Source organism: Homo sapiens, chromosome Y, assembly GCF_000001405.40.
Source record: "Homo sapiens chromosome Y, GRCh38.p14 Primary Assembly".
NCBI classification, from domain to species: domain Eukaryota; kingdom Metazoa; phylum Chordata; class Mammalia; order Primates; family Hominidae; genus Homo; species Homo sapiens.
The window spans coordinates 9,306,068-9,324,694 of record NC_000024.10 but is presented as its reverse complement, the minus strand read 5'-3'; the positions used below and the strand labels follow the sequence as shown (position 1 = coordinate 9,324,694).

At 38.1% G+C, this 18,627-nt stretch overlaps 1 pseudogene across 1 annotated transcript; it reads left to right on the top strand.

Moving 5' to 3' along the window:
- The first annotated feature begins 1,820 nt into the window (after window positions 1-1,820).
- On the top strand, window positions 1,821-7,634 carry RBMY1A3P (RNA binding motif protein Y-linked family 1 member A3, pseudogene; annotated as a pseudogene). The gene is made up of 4 exons (NR_001547.1): window positions 1,821-1,934; window positions 2,407-2,510; window positions 5,526-5,703; window positions 7,604-7,634. The product of NR_001547.1 is annotated as an RNA binding motif protein Y-linked family 1 member A3, pseudogene (transcript).
- The last annotated feature ends 10,993 nt before the right edge of the window (window positions 7,635-18,627 follow it).

Below are 18,627 nucleotides of genomic sequence, written 5' to 3'. Positions count from 1 at the left end.
GGCAAGAATAGAAAGCAAAGGTTTGGGATTTTGTCTATAAAAGGGGATGGGTTTTCTATGTGTGGGTGTTGAATTACGGGAGGAGTCAGTGGGGAAAGAACTCCTTAGTGCTATTAAGAGACTCACTTTCGTTAAACTCATTGATTTTTCCTGAGGATTCTACATTTAACTGCCTAATATGTCCGACTAGTTGTGGGAGATGGTGCTAAGGCGCCACTGTTTTCGTGTGCACTTTTTATTAAAGCGGGTTTTCTCTGTGAATGTGGTCATAATTCAGAATACAGGCAATACACTTAACCACTGCGATTAAAAAGTCACACTTTTAGTTAGCACATGTGGCGTGTCTGATTTGCTTGGATGAAATTTGACATAAATTGTGTTACTTTAGTGTATGTAGAAATATGGGGGCCATAAATAATCTCAGTTTCAGTTTGCCTCTGTAAAGCCTGTAATTGTCTCCTTCGTTGTATGACAGTATTTGAAACATGTTTCATGTATCTTTGGCACCGTAAATAATTTAAACCGAATAATCGGTGGGTGTAATCGAGATAAATGGAGTTAGATAGCCTAAAACGGGAACAACATAGATGAGCTTAAGTTATTCTGTTAACCTGGCACACTGACTTACTCGTGTAATCCTAGCATTTTGGGAAGTGGAGGTCAGAGGATGGCTTGAGGTGAGGAGTTTGAGACCAGCCTGGGTGACATAATGGACTCCTTTATTGGTATTTTCGCATCAGGGACTGGTTTAGTGAAAGACAATTTTTCCTCAGACAAGGGTTGCACAGGGGTAGAAGGCGGCGAGGTGGACAGGTTTGGGAGTGGGGGCTGGCGGCAGGTACCCGAGGGGCACGTGGTAGGGCGGGTCTTCCGGTAGGAGCAATGTGACAGAGGACAGGTGGGGCAGTGGGGCTGCCACGGGGACAGGGAGGGCCAGCGAGGGAGTAGGGAGGATGGTTTCTGGATAGAACTGTACCACCTCAGGTCATCCTCAGGCGTTACATTCTCCACAAACAGGTATTACATGTCATCCTGTGGCATCACATTCAGGCCACAGATAGGTACGGGTTGAAGGCTAGGGTTTTAGAATCTGTGACCTATTGTATATTTCAAATCACTAGAAGATTGTAAAATATTTAAAATATTCTCCCCCTAGAACATTTTAAGTAGCTTGATTTAATCTTTTATCCAAATATCATGCTGAGTGTGGTGATTCACCCTTGAAATCCCATCACTTTGGTAGGCCCAAGCCGGCAGAACACTTGAGCCCAGGATTTGGAGACTACCTTGGGCAATATGGGGAAACCCTTGTTTATTTTTAAAAACACAAAAAATTGCCCAGCTGTGGTAGAAAGCCCCTGTAGTACTAGCAACTTCGGAAGCTGAGATGTGGGAAGATCAGTTGGGCTGGGTGGAGGAGGCTGCAGTGAACAGTGCACTTTGGCAACAGGAGACACACATCTCAAGAAAGAAAATATGCAAAACATCACACTGTACCTCATAAATAGACAGTTTTCAAATAAAATTATTTAAATGAAGGCATTCTTCATATTGCAACTTAGGAAAATTATGATAGCTTTTCTTATCTAATTTTTAGAAATGAGATTCTGTCAGTTCATACTAAAATGCAGCATTTGTGTGTGAAGTTAGTGCCCCTTTGCTCTGAGTGTTACAAATTTTACATATTTAAAGTAAGAAGTAATAAAAAGATGTCAGCCTCAGGAAGGGAATTTTACTTGGATTTTCAGCACAGTTTGTAATAAAATTTTATCTTTTTAGCTTATTTATATCTAAATATAGATAATTTTTTACCATTTACAGCACAATGGTAGAGGCAGATCATCCTGGCAAGCTTTTCATTTGTGGCCTCAATAGAGAGACCAATGAGAAGATGCTTAAAGCAGTGTTTGGGAAATATGGTCCCATATCAGAAGGTAACTCTTAAAACCGTGTGTGTGTGTGTGTGTGTGTGTGTGTGTGTGTTTATGTGTATTTTCACATGTATATTTCAGTATGTATGTTTAAAATATGTATGTTATATATATATATGTTTTGAAAAAATATATTTTTTCAAAGTTCATTGTATACCTACATGAAAATGCCTTATGAGTTTTAAACTCTTATTTTGTAGTATCTGTTTGATATTTGGAAAATTCTCATAGTACTAGGTTAAGGCTCTATGGAAAGGATAACCTACTACTTAGAAAGGAAAATGAGGAAAAGTAAATGTGCTGTGGAGTTCAGAAAGAAACTGGAATAAACTAGACTGACTGTAGGGGTGACTGAGTATTAAGAACCATAATAATGATGTGAAATGCAATTATTTTTTAGTTTGATGTAACTTTTAGATGGTTAGTACCTTGATGAGTCCATTACATGAATGTAAAATGTTTTCATATATTTTAGTTCTTTTGATAAAGGATCGAACCAGCAAATCCAGAGGCTTTGCCTTTATTACTTTTGAGAACCCTGCAGATGCTAAGAATGCTGCCAAAGATATGAATGGAAAGGTAAGAGTCCCTTATTAATAATATTCTAACTGTGTTCTTCAATTAACAATATTTCTAGGTCTTTTTAATATTACTAAACTTTTGAAGATAGTAGAATGACATATGAAGCCATCCTCTTTTTTGTGCCTTATACGTGCAAGTGTAGTTGGAAGGGTATTGGAATTAACATTATATAAATTAATATTTGGTAACCTTTTTCTATGTTTGTATTTCGATATGAGTGCAAATAGATTTTAAAAGGTTTTGATGAGCTTTAAAACTTATAAGGAACCCTCATGTAAATGAAATTAATAAGTCAATATTTATTAAATGCTATTAATTGAAGTACTTCCAATTCATGGAAATTCTTTTAGAGCGTAGACAAACTGTGGATAGACATCTAGACAGACTCACAAGAAGGAAAGACTCCTTCCTTCTTGAAGAATATATTTTATGAAAATATATTCTTGCAAAAGTATATTTAAATAAGACCTTTACATTTACGGAAAGGGTAAGTAGTTGAAAAGAGAAAATAATATGAGAACATTGAAGTCAGATAGCAGAAGAAGTAACTGGCATTTTTGCTCCATGCTTGCTTTTTCTCCTAAGGACATTTCTTTCCTGTCACCAGAGTGATTTATGTAACATGAATAGCTAATTACTCATTTCCCCAGTGTGTTTGAGGACTTGTTTTGATTCAACCAATGGTCTCTTGTCCTGTTGAGTCTTAAATCTAGAGATTGTGTGTTTACTAAAGCTTTAAACTTTTATGTAATTATATTAATTATTGAATTCCTTTACATTGTAGTCAAGAGCATTCCATTCTGTGCTCTTTAGTGCTTTTTTGCTTTGTAACATTATCCCAATCATGCCGGGCATGGTGGCTCACGGATGTAATCCCAGCACTTTGGGTGGCCAAGGCAGGCAGATCACGAGGTCAGGAGAAAGAAACCATAATGGCCAACATGGTGAAACCCTGTCTCTACTAAAACACACACACAAAAAAATTAGCTGCGTCTGGTTGTGTGTGCCTATAGTTCCAGCTACTCAGTAGGCTGAGGCAGGGGAATCAGTTAAACCCAAGGAGGCAGAGGTGGCAGTGAGCCGAGATCACGCTGATGCACTCCAGCCTGGCAACAGAGCAAGAATCCGTCTCAAAAAAATAAAAAATAAATAAAATAAATAAACAACATTATCCCAATCTGTTTTTAGCTCCTGTTAGTCTTCATGCTATCCCCAAAGTGCTGTTTTAGACTTGTTGAGAATTATCCTTCCCTGTGTATGTCTCATAAATAAAATTTATGCTTCAAAAACCACTTAGATTTCATATTTTCTTTCTCATTGCATATTGTAGGTATTTTGTACTCACTGTACTATGTATTAATCTATTGAATGTGAAATTGTATGTAGTGCATATTTAAGTCTTGCTAGTTGCTTTTCTTTCTGTTACATCTAGCACAGTTCCTGGCACATAGCAGAAAGTACATTTTTATTCACCCTCATAAATTAGTATTTCAAGCTGTGGTAGAAACCGAGAGTTGCTTTTGGTTCATGGCTTTGTGGTAGGTATGGAGATAATTTTGACTTCTGTATAGTAATCTATGATAATTTCTTTGTTCCCTCTAGTTTTCAAGCAAAAGAGCAGCTAATTTGTGTAAAGTTTTTGTTCGTTTGTTTGTTTTTTAAGATGGAGACTCACTGTGTGCCCTAGGCTGGATTGCAGTGGGGCCATCTTGGCTTACTGCAACATCCGCCTCCCGGGTTCAAGCGATTCTCCTGCCTCAGCCTCCCAGTACCAGGGGCTACAGAGGCGCGCCACAACGCCCAGCTAATTTTGTACTTTGAGTAGGGATGGGGTTTCTCCCTGTTGGCCAGGATGAGCTCTATCTCTTCACCTCATGATCCACCTGCCTTGGCCTCCCAAAGTGTTGGGATTACAGGTGTGAGCCACCGTGCCCAGCCAACATTATTTCTAAGTTAGTTCATCTCACATATTTTAGTGTGTTAAAATAAATATGAATATTGTATGCACATTAATGTTAAGATGGCCAATAAAGGAAGTTCTTCGAGTTTTCAGGGGGAATTAACAGTTAAGGAATTTTAGCTGACTTCAGAACACTGGGAAGGAAGCAGCCATGGGCAAATCTGGGGAAAATATTTTGATCCCAGAAATAACAAAAGAAGTGTCAAGGTAGGAACAACTGGCGATGTGGCTGCAAGGGGTCTTGTCAGGGATTTAAGTCCTTCCTCCAAATAACAAAAGCCATGTAATTTGTAAATCACATTATTAGCTGAACTGTTTTCAAAAATTGCTATGGCCTGTAGAGAAGATTACAGTGAAAAATGTTATTATGAAATTAATTAGGATATTTAAGCATTTCTGAGAAACTACCTGAAGTACTATATTAAGATTCGTTTTTTAGGGGCACGTGTAAGGCAATATAAGAAATGAGTAAGGCAAGAAAACTTAATGAGATCAAACAAGGATCACATTTACAGAAACATTTTTAGAGTCAATATAGAATTGTAAATCATATGGGGACATTTTATGTAAGTGTTAGCAAATCCAACAAGAAACAGCTCATAGTGACTAATGTGACTAATCACTCTGAAAAAGTAAGCTCACTTTTTAAAATGACACAAGTTTCGTTGGGACACTGCAACTTTCAAATCAGTGATGTGAATACAAAGATGAAGTGGATTATATATTGTAAAAAACAGATGTTCCACATTCTTCCATAGAATGTGTGATGGGTCAATCTTTTTTTTTATGTTTGAGTTTTTTTTTTTTAATAATGGAGGAGTTTTCAAGGAATTTGAATAATAGAATTTGTGTTTGGTCCCTTAATGGAAGGCATGTGCTCAGTAACTATCTCAAATTTGGCATTGTGAAAGATGTGTTCATTTTAGGAGAAAAAAAAGTTTCCTTTTGGGAGAAAATACCTCGAATTGAACTATGGTTGATGTAAAAATGTTTGTAAAATGCGCTTACGTTAAATGTGCCATTGTTATTGATAGTACCCTTAATACTTCTAGTCTTTGGATGGAAAAGCAATAAAAGTAGAACAAGCCAAGAAACCATCTTTTCAAAGTGGTGGTAGGTGAAGACCACCAGCTTCTTTGAGAAACAGAAGCCCTTCAGGAAGTCTGAGATCTGCAAGAGGAAGCAGTGGAGGAACAGGAGGGTGGCTTCCCTCACATGAAGGACACCTGGGTAATGTTTTAAAATATAAAGATGGAACCATAGGACTGAAAGAAAATAAGTTTGAAGATATCGAAATTTCTCAATTTTTTTATTTCCTGTATGAAGAGAAAATTAGCTTATTGATAATAAGCAAAATTATTTCTAAGTACTAAAGGTGTATTATAAGAATGATTGAATTAATACATAAATTTGTTTTAAAATTACAATAAGTTTGCACTGAAGTAACACACATTTCAAACTGAGTTGTGTTTATGAATGCTGATTACCTGTACTCAACCGGTTTTCTGCAGAACTCATTTATATTCATTATACTTTAGAGTTTTCTGCTTTAGGGCCCAGAACTTCGTGTCAGTTGTATTATCAAAGTATGATGTCATATTTAAAATTTTCCAACAGGAAAAAGTAACTCAATACTTAAGACTGATTTTGCAGTATTTGTTTTCTTGTGTATACATGTGCGAACATCTATGCAAAGGTATTGCTTTGTAATTTTGATACAGAGAGTTTGTACATTGGCCTGCCATAAAGCATTTTCAATTTAAGAAATGTAGAACTTTAATTTCTGAAAAGAGTCTGTGACTGGAAATGTCTAAAAACCACTGCTTCACAGATATGTATGTATCTTTCTTTGCTGGAGGCTGAGTCACTGAAAATGATATTTATGAGTGATTTACTTAATAGAAATGAGGGGTCTATGTTTACATATAAAAGAAAAACAAACCATATATTTAAAAAAAAAGAAAAAAGACTATTGGATGGGCTGTGCGAGGTGGCTCACGCCTGTCACCTCAGCACCTGGGGAGTACAGGGCAGGTGGACCACGAGGTCAGGAGTTCCAGACCAGCCTGGCCAACATGGTGAAACCCTGTCTCTCCTAAAGATACAAAAAAATTTGCCTGGGCGTGGTGGCATGCACCTGTAATACCAGCTACTCAGGAGGCTGAGGCAGGAGAATCACAGGAACCTGGGAGGCACAAGCTGCAGTGAGCCAAGGTTATGCCATGGCACTCCAGCCTGCGTGATAGGGCAACAGTCCATCTGAATAAATAAATAAATAAACCTGTTGGTTAACTTGTATTATCTATTAACCAACCTTCAAAACTCTAACAATTAACTTGGAGTTTTAATAACCAGACATGTAGTTTATTGGAGATTTTTTTCAAGTTGAAATTGCAGTGTTTGCTCCATTTTAAGATGCATAGCTTCGTGGCTATTTTGTCTCCACTGATCTTGAGGGTGAGGTTCAATTATACTCTGCCACGGACGAGAATGTATATATAAATTCTAACCCGTAACACCACCTGGCAGTTGGCATATATCTACATTTTTGTAGATGTATAAAAATATTTTTATATTACCGAATATGCAGTTCCTAAAGACTGTTAAAATTCAGCATAGTCTAATCTGAAAGTCAGTGTCTCATAAGGGAATTTTAAGAATTCTATATTGTGTTAACAAATTTTAGAGACAATGTATTTTCCTGATATGTCACTTCTTGGTATTGGAAATATTTGAGTTTCTTTGAATGGAAATTAGTTTATGATGTGCTTTGAAAATTTTTCCTCATTACAGAATGATATAAGCAGTCATTTATCACTTTTCTTTTAATATTTTTATGCATATTATATTTAGATATTTCAGTGATAGATTTGTGCCCCCGTTCACTCCCCATTTTCCCACATCTCTCTCTCATACCAATATATTATGATACTTGAGTTTCTTTCTAGATTTTCTAAATGAACTTTTATTGCTTGAAGTGTACTAATACCATGTAGGAATGCTAATTTTATTAGTTTAGACAAAATGTGAATTAGTTATAAAATGTAGAAAATATTTGTAAACAACTAAAACTTAGCCATTTAAGAAACAGTGATGTTAGTTAACTAAAAGGATTTTGTTTGAAATACAGATGATGGTGGATACACTCCTGATCTCAAGATGAGTTATTCTAGGGGACTCATTCCAGTTAAAAGACGTCCATCTTCAAGAAGTGGAGGTCCTCCTCCTAAAAAATCTGCTCCTTCTGCTGTGGCAAGAAGCAATAGTTGGATGGGAAGCCAAGGTAAATGCTACCTGACAGAAAGACCGTAGTTTTTGTATGACTAAAAATGAGCTATTTTCCCTGAATGGTTAGCTTTAAGTTCATTGAACAAAAGAGAAGTGACACATACGTGAGCATAATTACTGATTGATAGTTTTTATTATAGTTTCTATCTCACTAGGTACATTTCAGATTTATATTGAAGAAATACTTGAGCTTCTCATTGCAGATCAAAGAAGTGATTAGAGTGAGGCCAACATTCCTTTTAATCCTGTGTTTGCTAGAAAATTCCCCTTAATTTTTCTAAAAGTTCCTAGCAGTATTCTTTGATGGTAGGCTTCTTGATCTAATTAATTCTTCCATTTCCTAGGTCCCCTGGTGTCCCATTCTAAAAATTGCTTGTTCAGTGACTTTGCTGGGTTGGAGTCTTGCTCTTACTAGGTGAGAGTGCACTATGTGAGATGACGGCTTACTATAGCCTCAAATTTGTGAGATGACGGCTTACTATAGCCTCAAATTTGTGAGATGACGGCTTACTATAGCCTCAAATTCCTGGGCTCAAGCAATTCTGCTGTTTCAGCCTCCCGAGTTTCTGCAACTACAGGCATGCAGCACCACACCTAGGTACATTTTTTTCCTATGTTTTTGTAGAGAGAGGATCTGACTGCATTGTCAAAACTGATGTTAAAGCCCGGGGCTCAAGCGGTCCACCTGCCTCAGCCTTCCACACTCACTCACAGTGTGAGCCGCTAAGCCTGGCCATCCAACTTCTGAGTCCTCAGTAATGCGTATGTGCAAGGCATACTCACTGCTTGCATGAAGATTCAAAAGAACTACAAGAGCATTTAGCAGACAAGGAGTCATTGGGCTTAAATATGATTTAAAAATAAATTTAAGCCTTGAAAGGTAGACACGTAGGAGTCCAAAATGCTTAAATTAAGTGGGTATCACAGAAATGCAGAGTTGTGAAATATAGGTGTATGTAAATCAGTAATTGAGATTGTACCGGGATGTTTAAACATTAACACAAGATCCTTAGTGTAAGATTTGAAATTATTTGAGGAGAGAATTTAGAACTAAGCAACATGAGGTGAGCAGTAGGATTGAATGCAAGTAATACTCTTGAGAAAGAATTGTAAGACTGCAGACTGAACAGAAGAAAATAAGACAATAAATAAAAGTTCTTAGGAAGGAAGTTTAAGCAGAGCAAATTAAAATTCTTTCTTAGTCCTCCATCCGAATATGGAGGAAGTTAAAAACTGCTGTTTTCAATTTTACATTTCATACGTAGAGTATCGGTGAAGAGAGGTATTTATTGGCTTCAGGATACCCAAGCCAACACATTTCCATTGGAAAATTAGCCAGTGAACGTATCATATGTGAAACACTGACCTCTAAGGAATAGCAAGTGAAGAATATATTGAAGGAGAAACTTTCTATTTTGAAATAGCAACAATGTTGTAATGACCCCTTGCATAGCATTGCTTTCTTTGCAGTAAAAGCAAATCTTGACCATCATTAGAAAATCTTCACTAATACATTTTAATTTGTCAACATTTAAGATAGAGCCAACCAGTTAGAGATAAAGAACTTTTATGTAAACATTTAGCATATAGTCATTTAAAGGTAGCTGTATTTATATGTGTGTGAGATGGACTGAATGATATTGGAAAATTCACCATCTTTGGCTGAGAAAGGACAATGTATGTAAACTTTAAAATCAGTGAAGAGTTTGATGGTTTTACATGTTTTCCCTGTGTCACTCACAGTCATCAGTAATTTATATGAAAAAGAAAATAATAACTAAGTAGATATTAACCATTACAAATGAACTTTTACCTAAGAATTAATGTTTGCCTTCAGCTTCATTAGAAGAACTGGCCTTGTGGGAGCCATGGGATTCTCCAAAGCCATAAGAAGTATTCACAGTGTCATGAGTGTCTAGTAATTTAGGAAACAAAGAATGGAGTCATAGAAAAAATAATTTTAAAAAGTAGTTTGAGAGAAGAGAAAATAGCGTTTCAGATTTGGTGTTCTCTACATAATGTTCCATCATTTTAATGTTAAAGGTCCTATGTCACAAAGAAGAGAGAGATATGGAGTTCCTCCATGCAGAGTGACAATCTCTTCCTGGAGAAATGATCATATATCACCAAGAGATGATGGTTATGCAACAAAGGATGGGTAAAGGAAAAATTAAAAAACACAGTTGATTTTTTTTTTGTTGTGGTGATGAAATTCACATAACAAAATTAAATATTATAAGGTGAACAGTTAAGTGGTGTTTAATACATTCTGTGCCATACAACAACTACCTCCATCGAGTTCCAAAACGTTTTCACCACTCCAAATTAAAACTCCAACTACCAGTTAAGCAGTCCCTTCCATTTTCTCCCTTTCCTCAGCTGCTAGCAAACACCAGTCAGTGTTCTGCCTCTGAACTTACCTGTTGTGGGTATTTAATGTTAATGTGCTCAAACACTACATGACTTTTTGTATTTGTCTCCTCTCCTTTTGCATGATGTCCTGAAGGTTCATTTACATCATAGCACTTCACTCCCTCCAGAAGCTATTAACCCATTATTTTATCTGGGTTGTTTCCACCCGAGTATTTCTACGCACCAATATTTGTTTGAGTATGCTTATTCGGTTCTGGGTGTATATGAGTGGAATTGCATGGTCCTATGATAATTATGTTTGTTTTCTTGAGGAACCACCACATTTCTCCATAGTAGCTGCATCATTTTCCGTTCCAACTAGCATTGTATCAGCATTCCAGTTTATCTACATCCTCTAGAACACTTGTTATTTCCTGCTTTTTGAAATTTATTGCCATTCAACTGTGTGTGTGAAATATGATATCTCATTTTGGATTTGAAATGCATTTTCTGCACCCATTAACTCATCATGCACATGTATCCTGGAACTTAAAGTATAATAAAACAAAAAGAAATGCATTTTTTGAATCACTGAATATGAGTATCTGTCCCATGTGCTTTTTGGGTATTTGCCGATTTTATTTGGAGAAATATCTGTTTAGATGTTTGGCCTTTTAATTTTGTTTAAGTTGTAAGTTAGTCATATATTGGATACTAGAAGTTGAAAATTTAAAATTTGTTGCTTAAACTTATGCATACAGAAATGATCGAAGTTCCCGAGAAACTAGGGATTATGCTCCACCATCTAGAGGCTACGCATACCGTGATTATGGTCATTCTCGTCGGCATGAACATTATTCTAGAGGATATAGGTACTGTAACTGTTTCTGGATTTGTCAAATAGATTTCTTAAATTGTTCATTCCAACTAACGTATCAGGGCTCCAATTTATCTACATCCTCTCAAACACTTGTTATTTCCTGCTTTTGAAAATTTATTGCCTTTCCAGTGTGTGTGAAATATGATATCTCATTTTGGATTTGAAATGCATTTTCTGTACCCATTAACTCATCATGCATGTGTACCCTAGAACTTAAAGTATAATAAAAAAAAGAAATGGATTTTCTGAATCATTGAATATGAGTATCTGTCCCATGTGCTTTTTGGCCATTTGCCTATTTTATTTGGAGAAATAGCTATTTAGATGTTTGGCCTTTTAATTTTAAGTTGTAAGTTAGTCATATATTGGATAGTAGAAGGTGAAAATTTAAAATTTGTTGCCTAAACTTATGCACACAAAAATCATCCAAGTTCCCGAGAAACTAGGGATTATGCTCCACCATCTAGAGGCTATGCATACCGTGATTATGGTCATTCTAGTCAGGATGAACATTCCTCTAGAGTATATAGATACTGTAACTTTTTCTGGATTTGTCAAATAGATTTCTTAAATTGTTCATTCCAACTAACATTGTATCAGGGCTCCAGTTTATCTACATCCTCTCAAACACTTGTTATTTCCTCCCTTTTAAAATTTATTGCCATTCCAGTGTGTGTGTGAAATATGATATCTCAGTTTGGATTTGAAATGCATTTTCTGCACCCATTAACTCATCATGCACATGTGCCCTAGAACTTCAAGTATAATAGAAAAAAGAAATGCATTTTCTGAATCACTGAATTTGAGTATCTGTCCCATGTGCTTTTTGGCCATTTGCCTATTTTATTTGGAGAAATATCTATTTAGATGTTTGGACTTTTCATTTTGTTTAAGTTGTAAGTTAGTCGTATATTGGTTACTAGAAGTTGAAAATTTAAAATTTGTTGCTTAAACTTATGTACACAGAAATCATCCAAGTTCCCGAGAAACTAGGGATTATGCTCCATTATCTGGAGACTATGCATACTGTGATTATGGTCATTCTAGTCCGCATGAACATTCCACTAGAGGATATAGGTACTGTAACTTTTTCTGGATTTGTCAAACAGATTGCTTAAGTTGTTCATGCCAACTAACATTGTATCAGGGCTCCAATTTATCTGCATCCTCTCAAACACTTGTTATTTCCTGCTTCTTAAAATTTATTGCCCTTCCAGTGTGTGTGTGAAATATGATATCTCATTTTGGATTTGAAATGCATTTTATGTACCCATTAACTCATCATGCACATGTACCCTAGAACTTCAAGTATAATAAAAAAAATTTATTGCCCTTCCAATGTGTGTGTGTGAAGTATGGAAGCTCCTGTTGGATTTGAAATGCATTTTCTGAATCATTCATTATGAGTATCTGTTTCATGTGCTTTTTGGGCATTTGGGCATTTTGGGCATTTGGACTCTTTGGGCATTTTTTTAGATGTTTGGCAATTTAATTGTGTTTAAGTTGTAATTTAGTTATGTTTTGGATACTGGAAGTTGAAAATTTAAAATTTGTTGCTTAAACTTGTGCACACAGAAATCATCAAAGTTCCCGAGAAACCAGGGATTATGCTCCACCACCTAGAGACTATGCATACCGTGATTATGGTCATCCTAGTTGGGATGAACATTCCTCTAGAGGATATAGGTACTATCATGTTATCTGGATTTACCAAATAGATTTCTTAAATTGTTCATTCTAACATTAAAAATGTTTTTTTTTTTCAATTTAGTTACCATGATGGCTACGGTGAGGCCCGTGGTAGAGATCATTCTGAACATCTAAGTGGAAGTTCTTATAGAGATGCATTTCAGAGATACGGTAAGGGTCCAGGATGGATTTGTAAATTACAGAATTTTATGTAATAGACCAGATTGTTATTTTAAGGAAATTCTAAGGAAAATTATAAAGGACATATGCAACATGTTTAAATATTGAGTATTCTTAACAGTATAAAGATAGGGAATGTTATGAAGGCGAGAACTTCAGTTCACGTTAAGAAAATGTGACTCCACATTTACTTTAGAATTAAGTTTGTTAAGCTTCAGAATACTACTCTTATACTTCTTTTAAATGAAACCTTCTGACTGTTGAAGACTTGATTAATGTCCTGTCAACAAAGGCAGAAGAAAGCAGATATTTCCAAATAGTACTTTAACTAATTCATGCTTTAATGATAGCAGTAAAAATGTTCAAAGGTAGTCCAACATATTATTTTGTCAACCATGCAGGGACCTCTCATGGTGCACCACCTGCACGAGGGCCTCAGATGTCTTATGGCGGAAGCACATGCCATGATTATAATAATACTCGAGATAGATATGGCAGAAGTTGGGAGAGTTACTCCAGGAGCTGTGGTGATTTTCATTATTGTGATCATGAGTAGGTTTGCAGAAAAGACCAAAGGAATCTGCCTTCTCTGGGTAGGGTGCTCCCTGCTCCTCGTGAAGCATATGGTAGCTCAAGTTATGTGGCATCTACAGTAGATGGTGGTGAAAGTTGATCTGAAAAAGGAGACTGAAGCAGATATTAAAGCATGGGTTCAAAATAATAGTTATTGCATACCAAACCTTGTTTGCAAATCAAAAATTGAAATGTTATTTCTGCTGCATTACCTGCATATTACTAAAAGAAACATATTGGTTTTGTGGAGAGAGGTAGATACTAACTTCCTCCATGAATTTTCTGAGGTATTCAAAGGAAAAGGAATTGTTTTCAAAGTAATTTCATACTTGTTGATGCTATTTGAAAAGTGTTTAGATGTAATATCTACCTTAAAATTTTCACAATAAGATTTTACATGTATTTCAAAATGCCTGGTGTTATTGGTTAGCCGCACATGCTTAAAGCAAATTCAATAGGAGAGAAAATTGTGTAGTTTGTTGTACATTTTCCTTTGTTTCTTTGAACATAGATACAAAATTAGGCATACGTTATGCCTCCCTTGCAAACTGTTCAAGTTTTCTAATATGAATGGAAACACTTTAAACCTCATACTTTGGGGAAAGTGAAGTGTGTAAAATATAAACAACAGCATAAAGTTTCAGACGGGATTGCTGAAAGTTTTAAGAAATCATGGAATGATAAAAATATTTGGACCTAAATAACTAAATCAATTATTTTTCCTGATTTTGCAAACTAAAGAAATGAAATACATCAAGTTCCAGAAGTTTTACAGTCCTTAGTTATTAACAATTGACAGACTAATCTGCAAGGAGGAAGTATTTTCTTGAAAAATTTTGACAAGATCATCAATTTTTATAGGGTAAGGGTACGAATAATTTTAAAGGGAGAAGTTGCCAACTTTGATATTCAAGTGAGGTATTCATGTTATGAAGTTGTGTTTTCATTCACCTGTAGCATTGTAAGGATGAAGTGAAAAGATAAATCTCCCTAGTCTTGTGTATCTTACTGTCCAGGTGTGGTGGCTCAGGTCTTTAATTCTAACACTTGGGGAGGCCGTGGCTTGCAGATCACTTTAGGACAGGAGTTGAAGACCAGGCTGGCCAACACCATGAAACCCCATCTCTACCAAAAATACAAAAATTAGCCAGGCATGGTGGTGCCTGCCTGTAGTATGTTACAGTTAATTGGGAGGCTCAGGCAGGAGAATCATTTGAACTTGGGAGCCTGATGCTGCAGTGAGCCGATATTGCACCATGCACCCTAGCCTGGGTGACAGAGTGTGACTCCAAACCAAAAATAATTATATAAATCAACAAATATATACATAATAAATAGGGTATCCTTCAGTTCAAGCACTTATCAATTCTTTTTTCTTTTTTAGAGACAAGGTCTCACTCTGTTGTCCAGCCTAGACTGCAGTGGCACCATCGTAGCTCACTGCAGCCTTGGACACGGGGTTCAAATGTGCCAGACTTCCATTTCAGCCTCCCAAGTAGCTGGAATTACAGACACACACCAACCACCATGCCCAGCTTTTGTGTGTGTGTGGTAGGGACAATGCTTTGGATATATTGTTCAGGCTGGTCTCAAACTCCCAGGCTGAAATGATCCTCCTTCCCTGGCTTCCCAAAGTGTTGTGATTATAGCTGTGAGCCACTGAGTCTGGCATATCTTTTCTTGGTATGAGCAACATTCCACCTCACTGAGTCTGGTATATCTTTTCTTGGTACGAGCGACATTCCACCTTCGCTCTATTAATTATTTTGAGATGTACAATAAATCATTATTAAGTGTAGTCATCCTGTGCCACTGAACACTAGATATTATTCCTTCTAAGCAAGTATAATTTAACCCACCCCCATCCCCTCTTTGATCCCTCGCTTACCAGTTCACATTACTTGTATCAAAATATCACATGTATGCCAAAAGTATCTACAACTGTTACATACAAATTTTCATTCCCTCCCTCCCTCCCTTCCTTTCTTCATTCCTGTGTTTCTTTCTTTTTTTCTTTATATCTTTTTATCTCATTTAATTTTTTTAAGACAGAATCCTGCTCTGTCACCTAGGCTGGAGTGCAGTGGCGTGATCTCAGCTCACTGCTCCCTCCCTGTCCTGGGTTCAAGCAGTTGTCCAGTCACACCCTTCTAAGCAGCTGCAACTGCAATCATATGACACCAATCCTGTATGTATGTATGTGTATATATATCTATATGTTTTTTGTATTTTCGGTAGAGACCAGGTTTCACAATGTTTGCTCAGGCTGGTCTTGAACTCCTGTCATCTAGTGATCCACCCACCTCATCCTCTGAAAATGCTGGGATCCAGGCATGAGCCACAATGCCCACCCAGTTTTATGCATTTCTCTTTTCAGTGATCTCTCCTATTTTATTATTTTATTCTCTTTTTCTTTCTGAGACAGAGTCTCGCTCTGCTGCCCAGGCTAGAGCACAGTGGTGTGATCTCACTTTACTGGAAACTCCATCACCAGGTTCAATGGATTCTCCTGCATCAGCCTTCCAAGTAGCTGGGATAACATCCATGAGCCACCAAGCTTGGCTAGCTTTGGTATGATACTAGACATGGCATCTTGCCATGTCTAATTTCGTATCTGTTTTAAAGCTCAGTTTATAAACAATACTGACTTCCTGGAATGTTTTTTGTTTACAAAACAACTATAGTACTATTATTTAGCATCCTCAGATAAAATATCGTAACACACAAAACACACACACAGACAAAGACACAGTCAGTGATCAAAAAATCAGCATAGGCCATGACCTAAAATGAAAGGTGAACTGCTGCAGTTACCTAGAATTAAACCAGACTAGAGTTGACCCTTACCCTGCCGAGAGATGTGAACAGAGGCTTTCAAACATCTCTATCAGGTGTATGTTAGATTATTCTTCAGCCATAGCAAAGGGGCATTAAAGATCTGTTGTGCTTAGAAGAATCTTGATGATTTGACTTTTCCAGGTTATTATTATTCATGATGTTAGCCTTTACAGCTCTCTGCAATTAAATGAGTAGACAACTCAGTTTTTCTAGGAGTCTAAAGTGCTTTTCAGAATTGTCTAAAACTTAGTGGCTTAAACAATAATTATAATTTACTAACTGTCAGTCTCTGCAATCGCCCTCAGTCTCTCAGCCAAATGAATATGGTTCAGGGGCACTCAGGAGGTTGCAATCTAGTGATGGCCAAGGATGGGGACGTTGGCGGGTGTCTTCCCATCTCCCTGGTGCCATGGCTAGCGTGACTCAAATAGCAGGGGCTGGACTGCTGAGATCCTCAGACATCTTTTTCTATTTCTTTGAGTCTCTCCATTGGATGTCCCTTCTGTGTAGTGTTATCAGGGTGTTAGACTTCGTGGTGTACTGGTCGGGGGCTCCTAAGGGGGATGAGAGCAGGAGACTTGGGCAGAGCTGTGTCACCTTTTCTAAACTAGGCCAGAGGTGGTCCAGTATCCCGAAAATGCTTGCACTGTTTTCTATTCATTACAAGCAAGTACTGTGTTCAGTCCCATCAGGAATATTTTCAAATGGGTTTGAGAAGAATTTCAAAGTGTGTTTTAAACCACTACAGTGGTCATGCCTAATAATTACCTATTTTTACAAGTGCTCTGTGGGTTTTTCCCAAAATCATAGCAGATACAGACTTTTAAACTTGAAACCTATGTATCATAGCTCTGAACATTTCGCTATATGTTAAAATAACTCTTGAGCAAAAATTGAATTTGAAATGACAGTTATAAATAAAATACACGAGATAAAGTCATAAATATATTGATGAAATGCTTATAAAGAGATCAGCCTTAAAATTATCACTAGGTCTAATGTGCCACTATTTTACTATTTCTATGGATATTACTTGGATAAGAGGACAAGGACTCAGGGGTCTGCTGGTCAGTCTCTGCACCTTGAAACAGCAATTGGGGCACCAGGAGTAGCATTTCCAGCTAACACCATGTGGTGAGGACAAGGAATCCATTCAGGTAAAGGAGGGTGTGAGCATATTGTGATCTGGAAGAGAGGTACACCTGGTATGGCAACCAGGATCAAGTTCCCCAGCACACAATGAAATCCCCAATGAAATCCCCCATGCCCAGCTGTGGCAGAGTGAATCCCTCAGCTGGTGCTGGGCTTCCAGGTGTGTGTTCTGAAAGCAGCTGCCTGGGCTGAGAAGGATCTCCTCATTCCCTTGCCATGTGGGAGGGTGAGGCTTGTGGCCCCCGCTCTGTCTGTTCCCACTCTTTCCCTCCCCATTATCCCACTGCTGGGTAAGGTGGCAGGACCCTGGAATGTAGAAGGGCCCTGGATTGTTGACAGTGCCTGTGGGTGGCCATGTACTAGGAGGAGAGTCCCCACTGAGCCTCCCACGAGCTTGGAGGCGGGGAAGGAACAGTCCTGGGGCACTGGCTGTTTCAGAGTCCAGGGGTCTGTCCCAGAGAAGGCCAGGGGGAGGTTGTAAGCCTGTGGATCTGCAATCTAGGTGGAAGACCTGTATCTGCCATGGCTGACATCATCAGGGCATGACACTCACTGGGTGGAGAGCAGGGCTTATGCATTTTACCCCTGTCCTGAAGAGACCCTGCATGCCTGGTTCTCCTGGGAACAGTGATCCTAGGGACCCCCCAGTCTGGGTCCACTCATGACCATAAGCTTAGGATCTTGTGTGCCTTGCTTCCTGTCTGCCCAGGTGAGGCATCCTGGAGAGGGTGCATGGGGCAAAGCTCGTGTGCGCACACCCAGCACTGGGACGGGGTGTCACCGGCCAGTTAGGCTCTCCTGGCCCTCTCCTGAGCTCCCACCTGGCTAAGTGGTAGGTGTCCCATCTACCTGAACCCACAGCCCAGGTTTCTCTTCCACCTACCGACCCATGCCCTCTTGGGGAGAATGCCAGCCTCCCTGGAGACTCAGGCCCTGCCGGACCCACATGCTGTCCTCTCTCATGGGCCAGAGACTCTGGTGCACAGGGATTCCCGAATAGCGAATCCCAAAGCCCTGCAGGTTTCACTGATTCTTACCTGAATGCCCCGGCCGAACACACAGGTAAACACAGGCAGCTACTAGGTTTTATATCCCTCTGGGTGTCATTTCAGGTTTATGACATCTCGTCTAGGTAGCTCGTGCCAGCCACCCTTTTCCTCCTCCCTCTGCCATTTGTGAGAACCATGAGGACTCTTTGCTTC